General features: G+C 38.8%; 2 long non-coding RNA genes across 3 annotated transcripts in view, besides 1 other annotated feature; one reads left to right on the plus strand and one right to left on the minus strand.

Annotated features, from left to right (window-relative positions):
- LOC105377114 (uncharacterized) overlaps positions 1–20,426 on the minus strand; it is a 144,240-nt gene that overhangs the window by 13,054 nt on the left and 110,760 nt on the right. For both annotated transcript variants that reach the window (XR_001740725.2, XR_940892.3), the window contains 2 exons: positions 20,287–20,410; positions 17,843–17,953 (listed from right to left, as the gene is read on the minus strand). This is a non-coding gene — a long non-coding RNA (uncharacterized LOC105377114). The remainder of the gene's footprint in view (positions 1–17,842; positions 17,954–20,286; positions 20,411–20,426) is intronic.
- LOC105377115 (uncharacterized) lies at positions 961–18,325 on the plus strand. The gene is made up of 3 exons (XR_001740726.2): positions 961–1,135; positions 14,438–14,611; positions 15,680–18,325. It is a non-coding gene; the product is annotated as an uncharacterized LOC105377115 (long non-coding RNA).
- Positions 1,846–2,140: a silencer, noted in NCBI's record as "tiled region #1523; K562 Repressive non-DNase unmatched - State 24:Quies". NCBI's record gives its function as "represses a minimal TATA promoter and a strong SV40 promoter by Sharpr-MPRA in K562 cells {active_cell/tissue: K562}" and the evidence as "EXISTENCE:reporter gene assay evidence [ECO:0000049][PMID:27701403]".

Here is a 20,426-nt window from a genome sequence, read left to right on the forward strand (position 1 = left end):
ACGAAAGAGCTGGGTATGTTATAAGGTGCTTTGGTGCCAACCTGTATAATTTACCTGCTTTGTATCCTAAAGCTTTGTGTCTAACAGGTCATCAGTTAAGCTATCAATTAGTCAGTAAAACCCATATTGAGAACCTTCTGTAAGTGCATGTGGAGAGGAAGCAAGGCTGTACCAGCGAGCTTTCCAATCTGGCACCTTTCATTAAATTCTAAAGTCACTTGTCTTTGTCTCTGTATTAAAAGAAATAATTTCATGTCCAGTCCCACCTTTAAAAAGTGACAGAAATCAACCATTCAATATTCATTAGTTCTTCTTGGCAACCCCATTTAGCTAATGGAAAATCAGGTACATTCATGTGCAATTATTAGATATTGAAAAATTATAAAATGTCCAACTTCTCTTTTTACAGCACACACACTCCCAAGTTGTACTCTACAGTTATGAAATAAACACATGCAGCTGCAACATCTCAATAGACCTTCAGATAATTGGCAAGTTTTCAGTTTGCTGCATCTACTTGTAGCATGAAAAGCAGCCAGGGATTAGAACTTCTTCATCAATTTAACTCTGCTGTACTTTTTCCTGCAAAGCTATATGCCTAGTTCTCACAATTGTACTCGAACTAGGTGAAAGCTTAGGAGGGTGGGCAGAGGTGGGGAACTCTGTATCACTTCTACACTCTGATGGTTAATTTCAGGTGTCAACTTGATGGGTTAGGGAATACCCTGATAGCTGATAAAGCATTATTTTAGGCCATGTCTGTGACGGTGTTTCCAGAAGAGACTGGCATTTAAATCAGTGGACTGAATAAATAAGAACCACTTTCATCCAATGTGGGTGGGCACTATCCAGTGTTGAGGGGCTTGTATAGAACAAAAAAGCAAAGGAAAGGTGAACTGGAGTGCACTCCCTCTCTCTCTCTCACTAAGACACCCTTCTTCTCTTGCCCTTGTACCTCAGAACTCCAGATTCTTGGGTCTTTGGAGTCTGGGACTGACATCAGCGGCCCCCCAGATTCTCAGGCCTTTCAGCCTTGGACTCAGAATTACACCATCTGCTGAGCCACACTACTGGCTTCCCTGGCTTTCCAGTGTGCAGACAGCATATCGTGGGACTTCTCAGTCTTCATAATCATGTGAGCCAATTCCCCTAATAAATGCCCTCTCATTTATCTATCTACCAACCTACCTACCTTTATCCTATTAGTTCTGTTTCTCTGGAGAGTTCTAACTAATGCACACATTTTCTTGACATAGCCACTAAAAGGCCAGTGACTGGGAGAGAGGTCCACATTGGTGGTTGATGTCATTCACTCTGGAGTGTCTGGGGTCACCTATGTGATTTACAGCAATCTGCCTCATGTGTCTCAGACTCAGCTTCTTTGTCTGGAAGATAGAGATAATACTAAGGCCAGGGCCAGGGCTAGGGTGAGGCAAGTGGGGCACTTGCCTCAGTAGCAAAATATACGAGAGTGCCAAAAACTCAGTAGTCAAGATTAATAATATTGTCATGCAATATTTCTTTTAAAGTCAAATTGGTCATCTACAGCAATCTATTTTCATAAAGAAAGCTTCACTGGAGCCAGGGCCAGTTTTAGGGTGATGCAAATGAAGTAGAGTCATGCAAGTACAAGGTTGGATCCTGTCTTTAGTTAAAATGTTGACATTTTGTTTAGCATTAATCGTTTTTGGATTAATTTTGAGTTTTTAAAGTGTTGTGTGAAAATATTATTTATCTCCATGACTGAGTCTTTTGGTGCTCACCTACCTCACTCTAGCCCTGACTCTGATGAGCACCTGGCATTACTGGAAAGATTCGATGAAACAGTGCATCCAGATCTTGGCCCCTTGGTGTCTCCTCACTCCATATCCTCTTGGACCCCCTCAGCTGAGTGCACAGTGCCCATGCATGCTTCCAACCTCATATACCCAGCCTCTCTCTTTCTCTTCTTCAAAAATGCCAGGAATTTAATGCCTCCAGGGGGAACCCTCAACCACAGAGGACAGTAGTTGGTTAATCAATACCCTCATTCAACATATGAAGCTTTCTTCTAAAAGGCTGCTGACAAGCAGGGAAATACCGGGACTAGGATGAGGCAAGCAAGATGCTTACCTCTGGGGCAAAATTCAAGGAGGTGCCAAAACCTAAGTCACAAAACATATAGTGTTTTAATGCAATATGTTCATAAATAATGAGCCATCAAGCTTAAAAATAATGTGAAGATCCGCTTTGAACCCCAGAGTTGGTATACAGATTGTTTTAAGTTGAAGACATTTGAGATTCAACAGATGCAGAAAGAAGCCTTCTTGGGGCTTCCCTTATCTGACTAAAAGCACAGACTCCTGGGAAATGAGGCTGCCATAAATTCCCTCTTCAGGGCAGCTTTTACTCCCAGGAAGGAGACCAAGAGTAAACCTATGACAAATCCCTTCTTGAGGGAGTTTTATGACAATGAAGAAAATGAAAAGACCACTCAAACTTGCATAAACAAGTATACTACAAACTTTCTTCTCTCGCATTTATTTTTCTAGAAATCCATTTGTCTTTCCTAAAGACCTTCATCTGGTCCTCCCATAGAGGCCTTTTCTCCCTCCTCCCTTTTCCCTACTAAGTTAGATCTGTAAATCTCTAACCTTAACCATTAATCATTTATCCAGCTACTTCTTTTTTAAGATCATGTGTGCATATGAATAAACTCTTCTTTCTTCTGTTATTCTGTCTTTTGTCAGTTTAACTCACACGCCCACGGGTAATGAATCTCAGAAGGTAGAGGAAAAGTTTTTTCTGCCCCAATCATTAGAAATTATGATGGTTTGATTTGAGGAAGGTCTTATGCTGCACGTCATTTCATCTCTATCTGAGACTAAGGCTAGAAACATAAGAGTCTTCGAAATTAACAGAAGAAAAGGGTAGGGAGAGATAATGAGAGGAAGAGTCCTGTCTAATGTTCAAATGAACAGAAACTTTCAACTTGCCAGGGACTCTCTTCATTTTCCATTTTCAACATCATAACACTTTCCCCTAACAACAGATTATTTATTACATATGAAATTTATAGCTACGATGTTTTTTGCAAAGCAGACAATGAGACAAACATTGACAAACACATTTGGCCCCAAACACATTTTTTTTCCCTTTAGCCAAAAACCACTTTTTACTTTCTTGTTAAGAGAGGAAAACAAATCCAAATACGTGAAGCAAAGAAAGGGTCTATACGCGTGTTTTAATTAATTTGTTTCTCCCATCAACCTCGTTTTTAGAAGAAAGCCAAGTAGAGTCTGTGAAGAGCATGTATGGTATGTATGTCTAGTTCAGTGTCTGTTGGAAGAGCTCTCTTTCCTGTTTATACTCAATACCCTACAATGTAGTAAACCTAAACATAAGATTTTTCTCTCCATAATCTCACAGCGGCACAAGATTTTAAAATCTCTTGTCTTTGCCAGTTTTACCTCACTGCTTCACTGAGCCAAGTGCTCAAGAAAATGAATATTTGCTGCCAAGGGGGATTGGAGAGGCTGTCTGGAACAGAGGTGCATGGGAACTGTAGTTTGTTTTGTATTTAGCTCCAAGGCTTCCATAAGAAGCACGTTACCCTAAAACAAATAATCCTGGAAGGTTGGGAACATGAAACACATGTCTTTGCTCTGTCAGAAGTACATCTTCCCTTCCTTTTTGATTTTGTGCTATTTCCTAGAGGAACCTATATTCTCTTGAGTAGTATCTCACTGAGCTGCTTCTGTTCAACATGGAACATAATCTTCCTCCTGCCTCTTGATTTTCACCATTGCTGCCTCTGTGATTATAACATATACCAGCCAGCATTTTTTTTCACCTCTGCACATAGCTACCAGACAAGCAGGCATTAGCTTCATCCTATTTGCATCTAAAATCTAGAGACCCATTCCCAGAAGAGCCCATGCAGAAAATACTGATGAAAGTCAATAATAAGTAAGAGTAGTAGTGACAGCCCACTAAATTCAGCAGCACTCTGGTAACCTTCCTGGAAATAAATGCAGGCTGTAAGGGGGTGTTTTTTCTTCAAATATATTTCAACATATTTTATTGAAACTACATGCACAGCTCAATAAGAAATTAAAAGATGAGCAAGATTTCTTTTTTTCCCCTCAGCAAATACTATATCCTATTAAGCTACATTAGCTTAATGTAAAATGAATCCTATTTTAATCTAAATTAGACATTAAAAATACATACTTTTTCCTAAGGAGCTAGGAAATATCTTAGCCAAAGTGCTAACCACACCATGTAACACCCAAGTAAGAGGATGTTGGGTAGTTAAAATGCCTAAAAGTTCAACAAGCTTACCCAAGCATAAATGTTGCCCCAGAAGAATATATTCAACCATTCTACACACCTTGAAATGCAAGCCATTCCAGTGTAGTTTAAGTTAGTTGTGGGAAAAAAAAGCAGTTGGAAAATTAGTCTTAAAAACAAGTGATAAATTAGTGCTAGTAGAATAAAATCTGCAATGGAAGAAATTGGCCAGATTTTTACAAAATTATATAAACAGAGTCATAATGTATAACTTGTGTCTGTTACTTAGCTCTTATGCTTTCAAAAGTTGAATTTCCTTTCAACAGTCTCAAGGTCCCTTAGGAATATTTTTCAAAATATATTCAGAGATAGATTAACCAGATTGCTCCAGGAATGACACTTTCTGGTTAATTTAATTAACCAGAAATCCCTATACACCAGCCCTTACTGCTGAAATTCTTCCTAGATTGCCTTTTTAGGGAGCATGTACTGGACTTCATCTTCCCTTGAGAATCTAACATGCTGGATGATTGAGCATCATAACCTTTTGCTTCTGAAAATGAAGCGAAGGTTTGGTTGCATTGGTACAGAAATAAGGCCCTATTTGAAGGCATAGGAGGAAATATAGGCCATACTCATATCCTTCTTCTCCCTTGCCCTATTGAGATATCAAAGCCTACCTAACTTAGTCGGGATCAGGCTTTTAAAATTGGGGGATAGGATGGCTTATTAGTCAGGGTTCTCCAGAGAAACAGAGCCATGGGGTGTGTACAGAGAGAGATTTATTCTAAGGAATCGGCTCATGTAATTGCAGGGACTGGAAAGTTCAAAATCTGCAAGGTAAGCCTACAGACTGGAGACCCAGGGAAGAGGTGATGTTGCAGAGTCCAAGGGCAATCTGGAGGCAGAATTCTCTTGGGGATGTCAATCTCTTTTTCTCTTAAGACCTTCAATTGATTGGGTGAGGCCAACCCACATTACGGAAGGTAATCTGCTTTTCTCAAGCTCTACTGATTTGAATGTCAAATCTTATCTAAAAGAATACCTTCCCAGCAACATTTAGACTATTATTTGACCACATATCTGGGTACTGCAGCCTAGTCAAATTGTCACATAAAATTAACCATCCCAGGTGGGGTGAGGCATTGTTGAAGAAGGCATTGTTGAAGAAAATCTTCAACAAGCATGAAAAATACGTGGACTAGAATCAGAGGGCAAGTTCATCTGCTTTACCCTGATAGGTCAAAGCAAGAGAAGGGAAGGGCAGAAAGGTTGATTTTATTCCTATTAGTCAAGGTATTTTTTTCTTTTAATCACTAGCTGGTTTAAATATCTACTTATGTTCTCAAAGTGTCAGGGTCCACATTAATTGTTCTAATGTTCCATAGCTTTGCTCCAGGAAACTTGTGAAGTGTCTGAGGTAGTAGAAAGACACCATAATGGATAACAATAGGGAATAACAATTGAGTACTAGATATTTTCTATGCATTCGTTTATTTTATCCTCATAACAACCCTCTGAAGTAGGTACCAATATGTTATCATTTCATACATGAGGAAACTGATGACTAGAAAGCTAAAGTGACCAGCTAAGATCACCCAGCAATGAAAAGTCAGAATAGTGACTCAAATGTCCATAGAATCCCAAAGCCCATGTTCTTACACAACATATTAAACTGCATCCTTGTTTTCTTTTATTAACGCTCCAGTACATATCAACTGTGTGCTACAAATAAATTGTGTGCTGTTTGGGCTACAAATAAATAGGAAAAGATAAGCTGAGGATGGTTGTTGGTCTGCTCCCTGCCTTTCTCTTTTGCCTTCCCACTTAAGGAACCAAGCCATGCCACCTACTGCATGCCAATAGTGGGAATCGCTTCCTTATGTATTTCCTTGAAGGGTTACTGAAAAATAAAATGAAATCATCATTGAGGCACAGAAAGGCAATTTAAGTATCAACAGCCAAAACAGGCAAGGGAGCTAAATGTAACAAGTACAACGTGGGATACTATACATGAAAGGGTATTAAAAAATTGCCATCACCCAAAGTCTACCCTGCAAACAAATGCAAATAATTCTATGCATTGAGTATTCATGTAAGGATACAATGCAGTCTGTATCCTCAAGAAGCTCAGACTCGTTGGAAAAACAAAATTCCAAAGTAAGGGCAAAAAAATTATTCAAACATAATTAAGCACCAACAATAAGTGTTTCAGGCACCTCTGGGAGGTAAGAAAAAAAAATGCTGGCAAATAATTGGCTTCTGTCTTCCAGCTCCTCCAAGAAAACTCAAAGAAAATTGAGACACCTGCCAAGAGGCAGCGAAAATCAGTCAGTGCCACCTTTCAAAAGTGGCATACTTCAACCAGGAACTTTCAGCTCAATAAAGCCCTCAAAACAACTGGCTGTGACTTTCCAAATGTTTCATCTTCACAAGCTTTGCTTACATAAGCTGCACTCAAGGAAATAAAAGCAACCATGAGTTTCGACAACATTAAGTAATAATATGGTCCAGTTGGCAGGAGCTGCTGCCTCTGGTCTCCAGCACAGGTGGGATTTCAACACAGCCTGGGGTATCCTGCCTCTGTTTCTAGATGTCCCACAATGGCAAAGCCTGCCTGGCTCACTCCTGTTCCTTCAGCACCCAATGTCTTGTCTGGCATATAGTGGGTGCCCAATAAACAAGCAAATGAATGAAGTTAACAATCAGATGAAAAACTGCAGGGTAATTTGGGGATGGTATTCCCTTCTATGGGTTCCTTCTGTAATTTTATGATGCTCATTTCAAACAGAGAAGCAGGCTTTGGCTTTCTTTGTTTCAGAAGAGGTCTGAAGTCAGTTGCAATGGCTATCTTGTATGGAAATCCAGAGTCACTGAAACAACTATTATGGATTTTCTGGAGCTGACAGAGAGAGGGAAGGGTAACTTTAAGGGCTGGAGGAAGAAAGAGGGAAACGTGTCTCAGGGAAGTTGGGAAAGAAGACAGAGATTGGGGGACCTGCTAAATAGCTAAGACTTAAGGCCCGTTGTGGCAGCACTCTGGGGGCACTCAACTTCCACCTCAGCCCCAATTCCAGCACCTCAAGCTCAAGAAAGTCTGCAGGCTGACAAAATGGGTGTCTGCATTTTACCTCCATGCACTTCTTGAGACCATTTGAGACCCAAGAGACTTTTGCACGGCACCCTGGGTAGGGGGCAAGAGCAGGAAACATAGAGAAGAAATGTATCCCAATAATGGCCAAGGTTGAAATTAAACCCACCCTTGCAGGATGAGAAAACTTAAGGAAAGATTTAAGAAAACTAACAAAGGCAATTATTCTTCTGACTGTGAGATTATAGGTAGAGAGTCATAACTGCTACAGCAGTTTACAAATTGCAAACAAGTGTAAAGCTCTCAACTGGTGATGGATTTATCATCCAGTGAAGCCTGATGAGTTAGCAAATATTGTTTTGCATAGAGCACATCCATGCAAAGTTATGCTAGGGTGTGTGGATGCCAACATCACATCCACACACCTGTCGAACATGGGGCACCAATTTGGAGCCTCAGGGCAGGATTCACATGTGGCCCTATCCAGCAGTTTCTTTAGCCTGACTACTCAAATTACATGTCAATTCCCTAGGATTTATAAATTCATCCTAGTACTAGGACTTACGGTTCATCTTTATGGCCATCACACTGTCTAATGATTGGCACTCAACTAGTGCTGTTAACTAGTGTTATTAACCAACAATAATAATGATGAAAATAACAAAACTGAAAATAGTGCTATCGTTATGGAGTTCTCACTCTCTGCCAGGGAATGCACTGACCTCTTTATGTGGATCAGTGAGGTGAAAAACAGGAAAAAAAACAACTTCTTATTTTGTCATTTTACAGATAAGAGGATTGGTGTTATCTTCATTTTACAGAAGAGGAAATAGAGACTTAGAATGGTTTTTAACTTGCTCATGTTTATGGTAAAGGCAGGATTGAAACTCAGGCAATCTGACTCCAGAGCCCATGATTTTTAAATAAAATTTTATTATGGTAAGACAGATTTTAAAGTGCACAATGCAATATTACTATCTATAGGTAGTATTGTACAGCAAATCTCCAGAACTTATTCATCTTGCATAAGTAAAACTTTATACCCGTTGATTAGCAACTCACTGTTTCTACTTCTCCCCAGCTCTCTGGCAATCACAATTCCACTCTACTTCCACAAATTTGACTATTTTACATACCTCCTATGAGTAAAATCATGCATTATTTATCCTTCTGTGACTAGATTATTTCACTTAGCATAATGTCCTCCAAGGTTATCCATGTTATCACACATGGCAGGATTTCTTTCTTTTTGAAGGCTGAATAATATTCCACTATATGTATATATACCACATTTAAAAAAATCTATTTGTCTGTTGATGGACAGTTAGGTTGTTGCCATATTGTAGCTATTGTGAATAGTGCTGCAATGAACATCAAGTACTGATATATCTTTGAGATCCTGATTTCAACACCCAGAAGTGGGATTGCTGGATCATATGGTAATTTTATTTTTACATTTTTGAGGAAGTTTCATAGTGTTTTCCAGAGCAGCTACACCATTTTGCATTCCCACCAACAGTGTGCAAGGATTCCAATTTCTTCACATTCTCACCAATGCATGTCTTTTGGCTTTTTCATAATAACCATCCTAAGTGGTGTGAGGTGATATCTCATTGTGGTTTTGATTTCCATTTTTCTGATGATTCATGGCATTGAACGTATTTTCACATAACTTTTGCAGGTCTTCTTTGGAGAAATATCTACTCAAGTCCTTTGGCCATTTTTAAATCTGTTTTTTGGGGGGTTTTTTGCTATTGAGTCATAGTGAAGAACCCATGCTTTTACCTATTACAAAATATTGCCTCAATATGCAGTTATTAACAAACAAATAAGTACTAAGTGTTCAAAGATGGTTCCACATAATATACTGTCCAAGCTACAAAGATCCAGAAGTTCCCAACCTCACTATGTCTTTTAATGTCCCAGTTTTCCTACCACTGGAGAAACAGCAACAATGACCTACCTTGTATTCCAGCATTCAGGTAAACACCCTTCCAGCAAACACCCTTCCAGCTAAACATTATTCCCTGTCCAGGCATACTCCCCAACATAATTATGAAGGCAGCATTCTTCCTGCTAGACCCAAAGAACTCTGCCTTACTGATTTCCAAGGGGCTGGGATTGGAGACTCCAGGGAAGAGATATTACATCTACAGGAGCAATAGTTTGAAATAAACATGCACACACACATGCACACACTTATGTGTATATATGTATATGCATATATATATACACGTATCTGTACATATACTATATATAATGTTTTTATTTGGAGGAGTATAAATTACATATTATTCTATAATATAAACAACCATATTCATATATGGTTTATAAACCATATAAACTATATTCATATATGGTTTATAAACCATATATAAACCAAATTTGGTTTTTTATTCATATTTTACTATGTGAAATATAGTAAAATCATCTTGGATAGTGGGGAGGTCAAAAAGATTGATGATTTTCAAAGATGAGGGGAGTAAGTTTTGATACTGGGAGCTAACTTATTTTATCTTCAGAACACCTCTCTGAGGGGAGCCCTTATTTTAGTTTGGGTTCCCAAACTAAGAATTCGGTTGCAAGTGTTAGGAAGTGTTCCCATGACTGGTGGTGGTGGGGAAGGAAGCAAGAAAGTACGCTGGGGAAGGGAAGGAAAGGAAGCCAAGAAAGGGTGCCTTACAAGCAAAGTCTTACCTAGGGAAACTGCTCAGTCCCTCAGGGAACTCTGGAGACAGTGTAGGCAGTGATTCTCAAAGTGTGGTCCCCAGACCAGCAGCATCAGCATTACCTGGGAATTTGCCAGAAGGGCAAATTCTCAGGTGCCTACCCCAGACTTAATGAATGAGAAACTCTGGGGTGGAGCCCAGCACCCTGTATTTTAACAAGTCCCGCTAGGACTCTGATGCACATAAGAGTGTGCATGTAGCACACCTCCAAGTTGTCGTGATCAGGAAAGGGAGCCAGAGTATTTAACCCACACCTATCATTGGTTAAGTGCTAGTGGGAGAGAAAGTGCATCAGCAGCTGGCATTTATGACAATTTTAAGAGATCCACATGGTCTGGAGAGGCACTGACTGTGTCTGCTAGGGAACTCTTACTCTTTCTTTTCCAAAGAGGTCAGTGAGGCCAGTGTGACTTGCCCAAGGCCACACAGCTGATCATTGTCAGAATCAAAATTCAAATCTAGATCTGTCTGACTTCAGAACCAATCTTTTAACCAAAATACTACACTGCTTCAAGATGGGCATTGGTGAAAAAACTTGTAACACCTACACTTCTACAACAGCTCAAGGCCCCTTCCTCTTGCCTTCTCTGGCTTATTTTGCTCAAGTAAACATTTTCACTGAATGAACCAATCACTTAGGTTTAAATATCAACGACATGTTTGCATAACAATCATTCTGTCAGTGACAAATCTATTTCCTTCATTTAGAGAGCTTCAACACCACTAACCTAAAAGATCAATTGAGGGCAGGATTATTTCCTTCTTAGAATTTTATGGGAATAGTGCATTCTACAGAGACTATCCAAAATAGAAAAGCTTGCCTTCTAGTCCAGTCTGTAGTGGTATCTATTTATATTTTCATGAAAGGAAGTATACATAATAACGACTGTATAAATTTGTTTTGCAAGTAATCCAAAATAACTGCTTGGAAAGAATCATGATTAATGGAAAAATTTCCAAGTAATAGCCTTTCTTTTCATCAACGCAGCAACAACCAGCAAAACTTGGAGAATAGCTATTTCATAAGTGTGATGATTCAATGCAACTGATTTACAAACTGCTATGTAACATAGGGTAGTATACTGTTCCTCAGTTTGGGTTTCATAGACCCCCCAAGACTTTATAGACTGTGCATTGCCTTTCATGAGTTGTACAAGTGTTTTATTATTGTCACTTAAATTATAATCTTAAAAAAAATTTAACGGTCATAACAAGAAAACTTCTGCTGATATTTTCTAGTTGAAAAAGAGTCTAATTATGTTAAACTACATCATCACTGTTGTTTCTGCAATTAAAGTCTTCAGATGTATTTCAAGCAGTTCACCCAGTTTTTCCTGTACAAACAGCCCATATAATACTCAAGTTTGAGAACCATTATATAGTGAATTGGACCCTTGCTACTCAAAAGTATGGTCGCTGGATCAGCAACAGCAGCATCTCTCGGGAGATTATTAGAACAGTATAATCTCAGGCTCCATCTACATCCACTGAATCAGAATCTGCACTGGATTCCAGCACAAGAGGCTCTGAGACTGGATCCCAACGCCAACACTTACTGAATGTGTTATTTAACCTTTCTGAGTTTCAGGGTTCTCATCTGTAAATGAAGATGATAATGTAAATTCCTACCTCCTAGGTTTTCCATGGAGATTCAATTAAAGAATGCACATAAAAGATGTCAATCATATAGTGTAACACAAAGCACTCAATAAATATTACCTATTACAATATTTTCCTCAAAACAGCAAGAATAAAAATATCATATAGGTGGTTTTCTATTTTAGCCAATAAAATTATGCATCTTCAAAATGCTCATGGCTGACATTGCCTTTGACATTTGGGGAATATACGCTCGGATTTCCTACTAATATGTTAGTGAATGAAAGACTTAATATTGAGTTGTTTAATGGCAATGTGTAACCTGATAGCTTATCAAATTCTCTGTGCAGAACAAGTAGATTTCCAGAAACAGCATTTAAGCTCCACTTGAGAGAAAAATATTTGTTTGCTGCAGAAATTAGGAGAGTCAATTGGAAACTCTCCTACTGATAGACTTGCATTCAGAAGAAGACTCAGTCCATACAATTCACATTTACATCTTTTCTTCAAAGCCCCTAAAATATTGACTCATATTTTAAAACACAACATCGAGCCCAATTCAAAGTGACTGAAATTAAGACACACAGCCTCATCATGTCGTTATGGCAACTTCTCACAAAACTGTCCTTTTAGTCATTGAACAATTGCTAATTTTCTTGCTTTGCAAGGAAGCCCCAGTTGCTTCCTCAGAAGGCTCAGCCTGGTATCAAAAGAAATTGTATATGATGGAGATAGAAGCATTCACAACGGTCACTTTTGGGAAAATAACATTTTATTATTAGTCACGCTTTGCATTTCAACTTGTTTTCCTCCTCAGCATGCCATTTGTGGTGTCTCTGATTTCTGTTAGTTTAGCAGACTGTCACAATAAAGAGACTGGTGGAAACTTTGCTTTCTTTCTAAATCGCAGGATGGTACAAAACTCCAAAATCATCAAAAACTGAGAGAGATTTTCAGATGGAAGCTCTCTCATCTCTGTGTCCTTCGAGTCTAACTAACATGTCTACTGGATGAACAGTAGAGAATCACTGAAGTCCTAACATGTATTTTAAAGTTATTTACATATTTTCCAAAGTGCATAAGAATTATTTTAGTATTTTACTTTTGCAGGACTAAACTGGAATAATTTATGAAACAAATCAGGTATTTGATGAGTGGTCATAACTAGAACCATCCTTGGAACTCAATGAAAGTGTTTAAAACAAAGATCTTTATTCATGAAACATTAACAATTCTGAGAAACTGTTCTAGATTAAAGGAAACTAAAAAGACACGATAACTAAATAAAATGTGGTATCCTCAACTGAATTCTGGAGTGAATAAAAAAGCAGTCTAAGGATATTATTGGGACAATTGGAGAAATTTGAATATGAGCAGTATATTAGATAATGATCTTAAGGTTAGACGCTCAAATATAATCAGTGTACTGTGATTATGCAGGGTAATTTCCTTGTTCTTAGAAGGTGATTGCTGAAATATTTGCTACAATGTCTGCAATTAATTTTCAAATGGTTTAAAACATACATATACATTCATACATACACATACACACACTATAAATAGATTAAAAAAGCAAATGTGGTAAATGTTAACAATTGACAAATCCAGGTGAAAAATATAAGATTGATCATCGTGCTATTCTTAGTAATAAAAAGTGGGGATGGGAAGTCTTTTTTGATTAAAGGATTCAAATCTGATGGGAGGGAAACGGAAAAAAATAAAGATTCGGGTAACAAGGAAATATGATAATCTGATAGTGTATGAAATTTTACAAAAATTCTTTTAGGATCAAAAGCATCCAAATAAGAGTCATCTCCATAGAGATAATATTTGACCCGAAATACATAGATAGATTTTATTACACATAAGAAAATACCTTTAAAATAACAGAACTAGAGTGAAATTATCCAAGACAGCTACAGAAGTGCCAGAAATAGTCATGAAAGCAAGCAAGCAAGAAAGAGGACTAGATATCTTAGACCTGTCATCTCAGATGACAAGTCTATAGACAGATGACGGACAGAGCCCAGAACCTCAGCTTTCAACCACATGTGTAAGCATTGCAGCCATTGCATGGCCTCTTTCAAAATGTCTAAAACCACACAGTCACTGAACTCATCAACTCATAAGCTTTCAAAACAGCAGAAAAGATCCAATAAACTAGTATAGTTTCTCAAATTCATCTTAGTAATGGATATAAATCTGACAAATATTCCCTTTATTCAGGTCTATTTTTTTTGTAAACTCTTTTCGTATTTTAAAAAACTGATCAATCTAATTCTTCTTTCAGTTACATCCTTCAAAAATCATTAACACACAGTATATGGACTAGTAAAGTGTGTGAGCTGTGAAGTCAGCTTGCCGGAGGTTGAAATTTACTAGCTATCCACTCTTAACCTTTTGGAGTCTCAGAGTCCTTATCTGTAAAATGGGGCAAATAAACATCTTTTTTAGCTCACAGATTTCCTGTGCTGGTCAAATTAGGTATGCTTTTGAGATCGAGCCAGACAATATTATTTGTAACTCATTTCAATGTATCTATATCCATTTATTTCTTTAAAAAAAGAGATAGGAATATTTGAGAGCTACACACAGCACAATACCTTGCCTACAGTAAAAAGACTAGTAAAAATACTAACACATAATCATGTAGGGTTCCTGGGAACCCCATAGAGAGGAAGAAAGTATATAATAGACTTCGGTGTTTTCAAAACCTGAGTTTACATCTCTAATTTCTTCTCTTTAGCTGTATATTCTTTGAGATACTTGAGATCTTTCTGGTTCATGCCCTCATCTGGAAAATGGAAATAATAACATCTCTGCATGGAGATGACAAAGTGTGGGTACAATGCCTACCACACTGTAGCTACTCAAGAAATGGAAGTCACAATCATTCTCATGCCACCAGCCTACTGAGCAGGTAAGTTTGTCCAATAACGTAAATGTATGCAGGTAGGTACCAAATTTTAAAAATGATAACATTTCAGATAGCTTCAGACATAGTCCATAGCTATTGAAATGTTTACCACTTCTAGCAACTGACTTTGTAGACACATTGATTGCATTTTCCTTTGGTTTACTTTTTAACTGAGGTATAATACATGCAGTAAATGAGTTACTTTTTTTTTTTTTTTGAGACAGAATCTCACACTGTCACCCAGGCTGGAGTGCAATGGCGCGATTTCAGTTCACTGCAACCTCCCGGGTTCAAGCGATTCTCCTGTCTTAGCCTCCCAAGTAGCTGGGATTACAGGCGCACATTGCCACGCCCAACTAATTTTCTGTATTTTAGTAGAGATGGGGTTTCACCATGTTGCCCAGGCTGGTCTCAAACTCCTGAGCTCAGGCAATCCACCTGCCTCAGCCTCCCAAGTGTTACATTTTTAAAGTGCACTAATCACAAGGCACAGCTTGATGAACCTGTATATATACACATATGTACACTCCCATGTACCCACCACCTTGACTAAGATGTAAAGCATTTCCAGCATCTTCAGGCTGCTTGCAGTAAATACTCATCCCCGGAGGGAACCACTCTTCTGACCTCTGTCACTATAATTTCGTTTTGCCTATTCTTGAACTTTGAATAAATGCAATGATACTGTACACACTCTTTTCTTTCTTTCTCTCTCTCTCAGTGTGTGTGTGTGTGTGTGTGTTTGTGTATAGTATACAGTATGTTTTCTTTTGAAAACACATTAGAATTTCCAGTGTGAGCTGGGCACGGTGGCTCAAGCCTGTAATCCCAGTGTATTGGGAGGCAGAAGTGGGAGGATTGCTTGAGGCCAGGAGTTCAAGACCAGCCTAGGCAACAGAGTGAAACCTCCATCTCTACAAAAAACAAACAAACAAACAAGCAGAAAAAATCCCAGTGTGTTTCTGATGAGGCAGATTCCTGGACTCTTCCAGGAATCTTTTTATTACTAATATTTTGTTGTTATTGGAAGTCCTTTGTCTTGCTTTTACATTCATTTGTTGTTTGTTTCAGATCAATGTTCTGGTGATGTTCTGCATCCAGACCATCTTTCAAGAACTGAATGGTTACTACCCTGGGTCTTCTACCGAAAGAAAGAACATGGGTGTGGGCATTCAAGTATAGCCTCTAAAAAAAGAACACATAAGTGGTTGCTGGGTGCTGTTATATAATCACACACATACAAGGCTTAAATCATGAATATTTCCTTTTTGAAGGGGAAAAAAAGCAAAAATCCAATTGTGTAGAGTTTTAGGACAAGAATATTATATGAAGAAAATATAGCTCCAAGAGATAGTGGCTGAAAGGGCAGAATTAGAGAAGCAGAAGAAGCAAGAAGTTACCGCAAAGGCTTCCAAAAATAAAATAGGATGATACGCCCAAGAAAACAAAGGCTACTTTTGCTAAGTCAGGGGTGAGAGAAAATAATGAAAGATGCAAAGAAGAATGACTATGGAGCTACTATTTTGTCTCAGCCTTTAGCACAAAGAACGAAGGAAGCAGGAGCTCAGTAAGATAAATATTAATGAGTCTCTGGGAATATCAAGAAACAGAATTAATAAGAGGCAGGTAAAAGAATACTTATACAATTTAAATATTTATAAATCAGTACAGCTGGGTGAGATTCATTTGAACAAATTCAAAGAACCAGCTAAGGCAGGACATACCTGCAATACTAGTGTTTGTCATAGAGAGTTATGTACCAGGGAAATTTAAGCAGGCTGATTTAGTGTTGGAGCTAAAGCAGCCAAAAGCAGATACAGGAAAAGGTGGGCTAGTTAGCGCATCCAAACTACCAGTCAAAACTCTAAATGAAATCATAAATCAGTCCATGAGCATCTTCAGAAAAATAACATAGTAAGTCATAGCCAAAGAGGTTCATAAAAAACAGAGCCTGTCAAAGCAACTTAATCCATTTTTTGGAAATGCTAAGAAATTTGGATTATAGACATAGTTTACAGAGGCCCTGCAGATGCCACCAGACAACTCAATTTGAACCCATCTTGGTGATGGAATGGCTGTTACTCTCACTGTTTCCAACAGAGAAGGGCAATTTCACCTGCACATTTAATACACAGGGATAGGGTTCTCTGTTCATTCCCCATCATAGCCCAGGACAGAGTTAATTTAGTTCTTAGCTAAATAGAGTCAGTGCCCAGAAGTATCCAAATGAGAATGAAATATATTGATAATTCTGTTATCCAAATGAGAGTGAAAGATAATGATAATTCTGGAGCAAACTGGACTAACATCTTTCAGAAAAAACAATATATATATGTGTATGTGTATGTCTGCAATTATCAGGATAATTCAAGGAAAACAAATACTATTGCTCGAATTGATCATATAATTATGGAAAATATAAGAAGATGTGAAAACAAAGGCCCTCTTATAAAATACAAAGACCTGACCGGGTCACCAGGCTCTGCTGAAACTGTTCAATGACTTCCCAGGGTTCTTAGGCCAGAACCCTCAGCCTCCTCTCAAGGCCTGCCTAGTCTGTCTGTGCTCTTCTCTGCAGCATCACTGGCACCACACCCCTCCTTGCCCTGGGCAAGCCAGCTCCTCTGCCCTTCTTTCAGCTCTTGCAAGACTTCCTCTTGTTTTTGCCACTGAGCCTTTGCACATGCTGCCCTTGCTTTTACTTACCCTAGCTACTTATTCTATAGTTTTCTACTCAAATCCCACTTTGGGAGGTAAACCTTCTTTTACCTCCCAGAACATAATATTTTCATAGTATTTGGCTCTAATAAAACCAATTTTCTTCCCAGAAGCACTTATTTTAGAATGTAATTTTATACTCATTTAAAAAAAAGTTAGTGTAGTCCTCCTCCACTAGATTACAAGCTCCACCAGAAAAGGGACTGAGTATGAGTACTTCACAATTGTATCTCCAGGATGTAGCACAGTCCCTAGGTACAGTAAATATTTGTAATCAGATAAAAAAAAAACTAGGAGTATATATATATATATACACACATACACAGTTGGGCTCCCTTCATAAAAGGTTAGATGGAAAGGACATCTTTCTATCCAGAATAATATTTTCTTCAGTTTTCCTTTCAACTACAATCATAGGAAAAAAAAATTTAATGAGGGTCCTGTTGACAGAGGTGTAAAAACATGAGGCAGCTAAAACTTGAATTGTTGAATTCTACATTTGCACATTACATTTACCTGTGATGTGTTCCAAAATTTCATTTCATGGTGATAATGAATCTGTGGGAAATTAGCATTCTATCACTCTTCATATGGGAGTGTTAGTGAAGGTTTTCCAAGCCGTGTATCCTGCATAAAATGAAACATTTTTCAGGTAACCAAGTTTGTAGCACACTCTTTCTATCTCAACAGTGTTCATCTTTACACCTCAGAAGGACCTAAGCCTAGAATTAGAGAAAGCCATGAAGTTAGAGAATATTATCTTATTCTAAGGTCAATCACTGACAGGGAATTTTCTCCCATGATGCTTGGATGTTTATATTTTTAATAGGAATTTGTAAGTTAATAAGTAACCAGCCCCCCTGCAAGCAAGGTTTTGACATATCCAAGGTCACACCAAAATTTGTGACCCACCTAGGACCAAAACTCAGACTTCTAGTTTCAGTCCACTGATCTTTTGTTAGTTCATTCATTCAACAAATAAAACCTGAATGGCCCCCATGAATCTGGCACTGTGTTGGTCACTGGGGAAACAAAGATGGAGACACTGCCCTTGTCCTTGTGGAATTTATTAGTTGATGAAGGAGACCAAGGAAGAATGAATAAATACAATACAACTGTGGCGAATGCTATTTGAGGCCACCACTCTTGGTGCCCAACGCTGCATTTCCTCTGCTTGCCTCTGATTTCAGCTGCAGCTGTGGTGGACAGCTCCTGTGCCTGCTGACAGCTTCCCTCCTGCCCAGAGATTGCCCTTGGGGGAGTTTGCTCAGACTCTGGCCAAGCAGCACAAAAGAGTGGTGTGACCATCCCTGAGAGCAACCTTCAATCAGAAGGGGACGTGAGTAGGTAGATAAATATTCCATCCTTCCATCATTCAGAAGAACCATTCAAGAGGCATTCTACATGGTTCCTGAGAGGATCCCCTCACGATTGAGCCCCAGTGTCCACAAAAAGAACCAGCTCACTAATGTAACTTTAGAGGCTTTTTCTCCTTCCCAGTCTCTCTCTTCTCCACTTCCTCACTCCTGCTTCCTAAAATCACCTCTGCCCAAAGAAACTTCCTACTCCTAAACCCTGTGTCAGGTTCTGCTTGTAGAGGAAGTCACACCAATACACAATATCAGTAAATGAATTAATGCAGAGAAGGCACTGGAGCCACAGTTGCAAACTGGAGTCTCTTTTGTTGGCTATCTACAGGGTCATTGTGTATAGTGCAATGGTTGTTTTTGTTTTACCTACTTGAAGATCACGTTGTTAAATGTTGGGTGTGGGAATGCAGGAGTGGAGTTTCCAGGTTAGAGCTGAATTGCTTCTCTAAAGAAATATAAATATATGTGTGGGAAGAAGGAAAACATTCAGGAGCAGAAAAAGCCAAGCTGGCACACCTAAGAGAAGAAATGGTGGGCAGGAGAGAGGGTGGAAAAGATCTGAGTGTTGGGGATCTGAGTCGAAAAGATCTGAGTGTTGCTTTTGGAAAATGGAATGCTGGGGAGGTGTGATCTAAAATCCCCTGAGCTTTCCCCAGGCTTACACTAGGCCCTGTGTACCTTGAAGCTCTTGGGACCATACACAAAGGAGATGGCTTCAGAGTCAGTTCTGTGACTTCAATCTGAGCTTCTACTCCTGGGAACTGCTGCTGCTCACAAAGATTCCCACCAAACAAAGGACAGTGAGTGAGAAGCCAAACAGCAAAGATGTAATAAAATGTCTAGCTAGGGTTAGCATTCCTTAGGCTTTTCTATGAAAACCAGTACTTATTTACAAGTCATGCCTTACAGGGCAGGAATACAGATTCATAATGAGGAAAATATTCTCAATCATCATAAATCAGATCCAGTCACTCTCCTGTGATGCTTCCCACTGTATTGGGATGATGTTTGGGTTACAGCCCCAGCCCCCAGCCTAGTGCCTGCCATGCAGTGGCACACGGTACATACTTATTAAAGAAAACCGGGAAGAAAGAAAAGAAGGGAGGGAATTAGATAGCTGGCTATTCAATCAATGAGTCATTAATCAAAAGATTTTAACAATGATGTAAATTCAAGATCAGTGCACTGAACCCAGTACATTAAATCTTCATGAGGATGAAAACAATAACATAAATCAGAATCTTCCTAGATCCTTTGGGTTAGGGATGGTTATAGAGGACTGGGGAGTGGGTGGAGAGAACACTATGTTGCCATGGAGGAAGTGGGAAAAGGTTTTCTTTTTTTTCCTTTCATTAGAAAACATCAGTAGGTAAGAGGATGCTCTCTTATTAGTAATGAGATATGGGCTTCCTTCCAGAAAGTGACAGAGATTTTTCCAGCAAATCCATAGCCTTTGATGTGAGCACTACTGAGAAAATATCTTCAGCTATGCAAGCACGGAAGAGAAATTTGAAGAAGGCATTTCATGTTCTCCTCTGTTGTATCTTTGATGTACACAAAGGATTTAGTCCTAGAAGACGAAGACCTTACCCATTTTCTTTCCCCTTGAGGAGAGCTTTGTTCCACATTTCCCTGTTGGGCCATGATCCTGGTGAGTAGGTGGCACATTAATTATTGGATGTTTTCATTATCCAAGTATTTGTTATCCAAGTCCCTGTAGACAACAGGTT

The sequence above is a fragment of the Homo sapiens genome, chromosome 3, assembly GCF_000001405.40.
Source record: "Homo sapiens chromosome 3, GRCh38.p14 Primary Assembly".
In the NCBI taxonomy this organism is placed as follows: domain Eukaryota; kingdom Metazoa; phylum Chordata; class Mammalia; order Primates; family Hominidae; genus Homo; species Homo sapiens.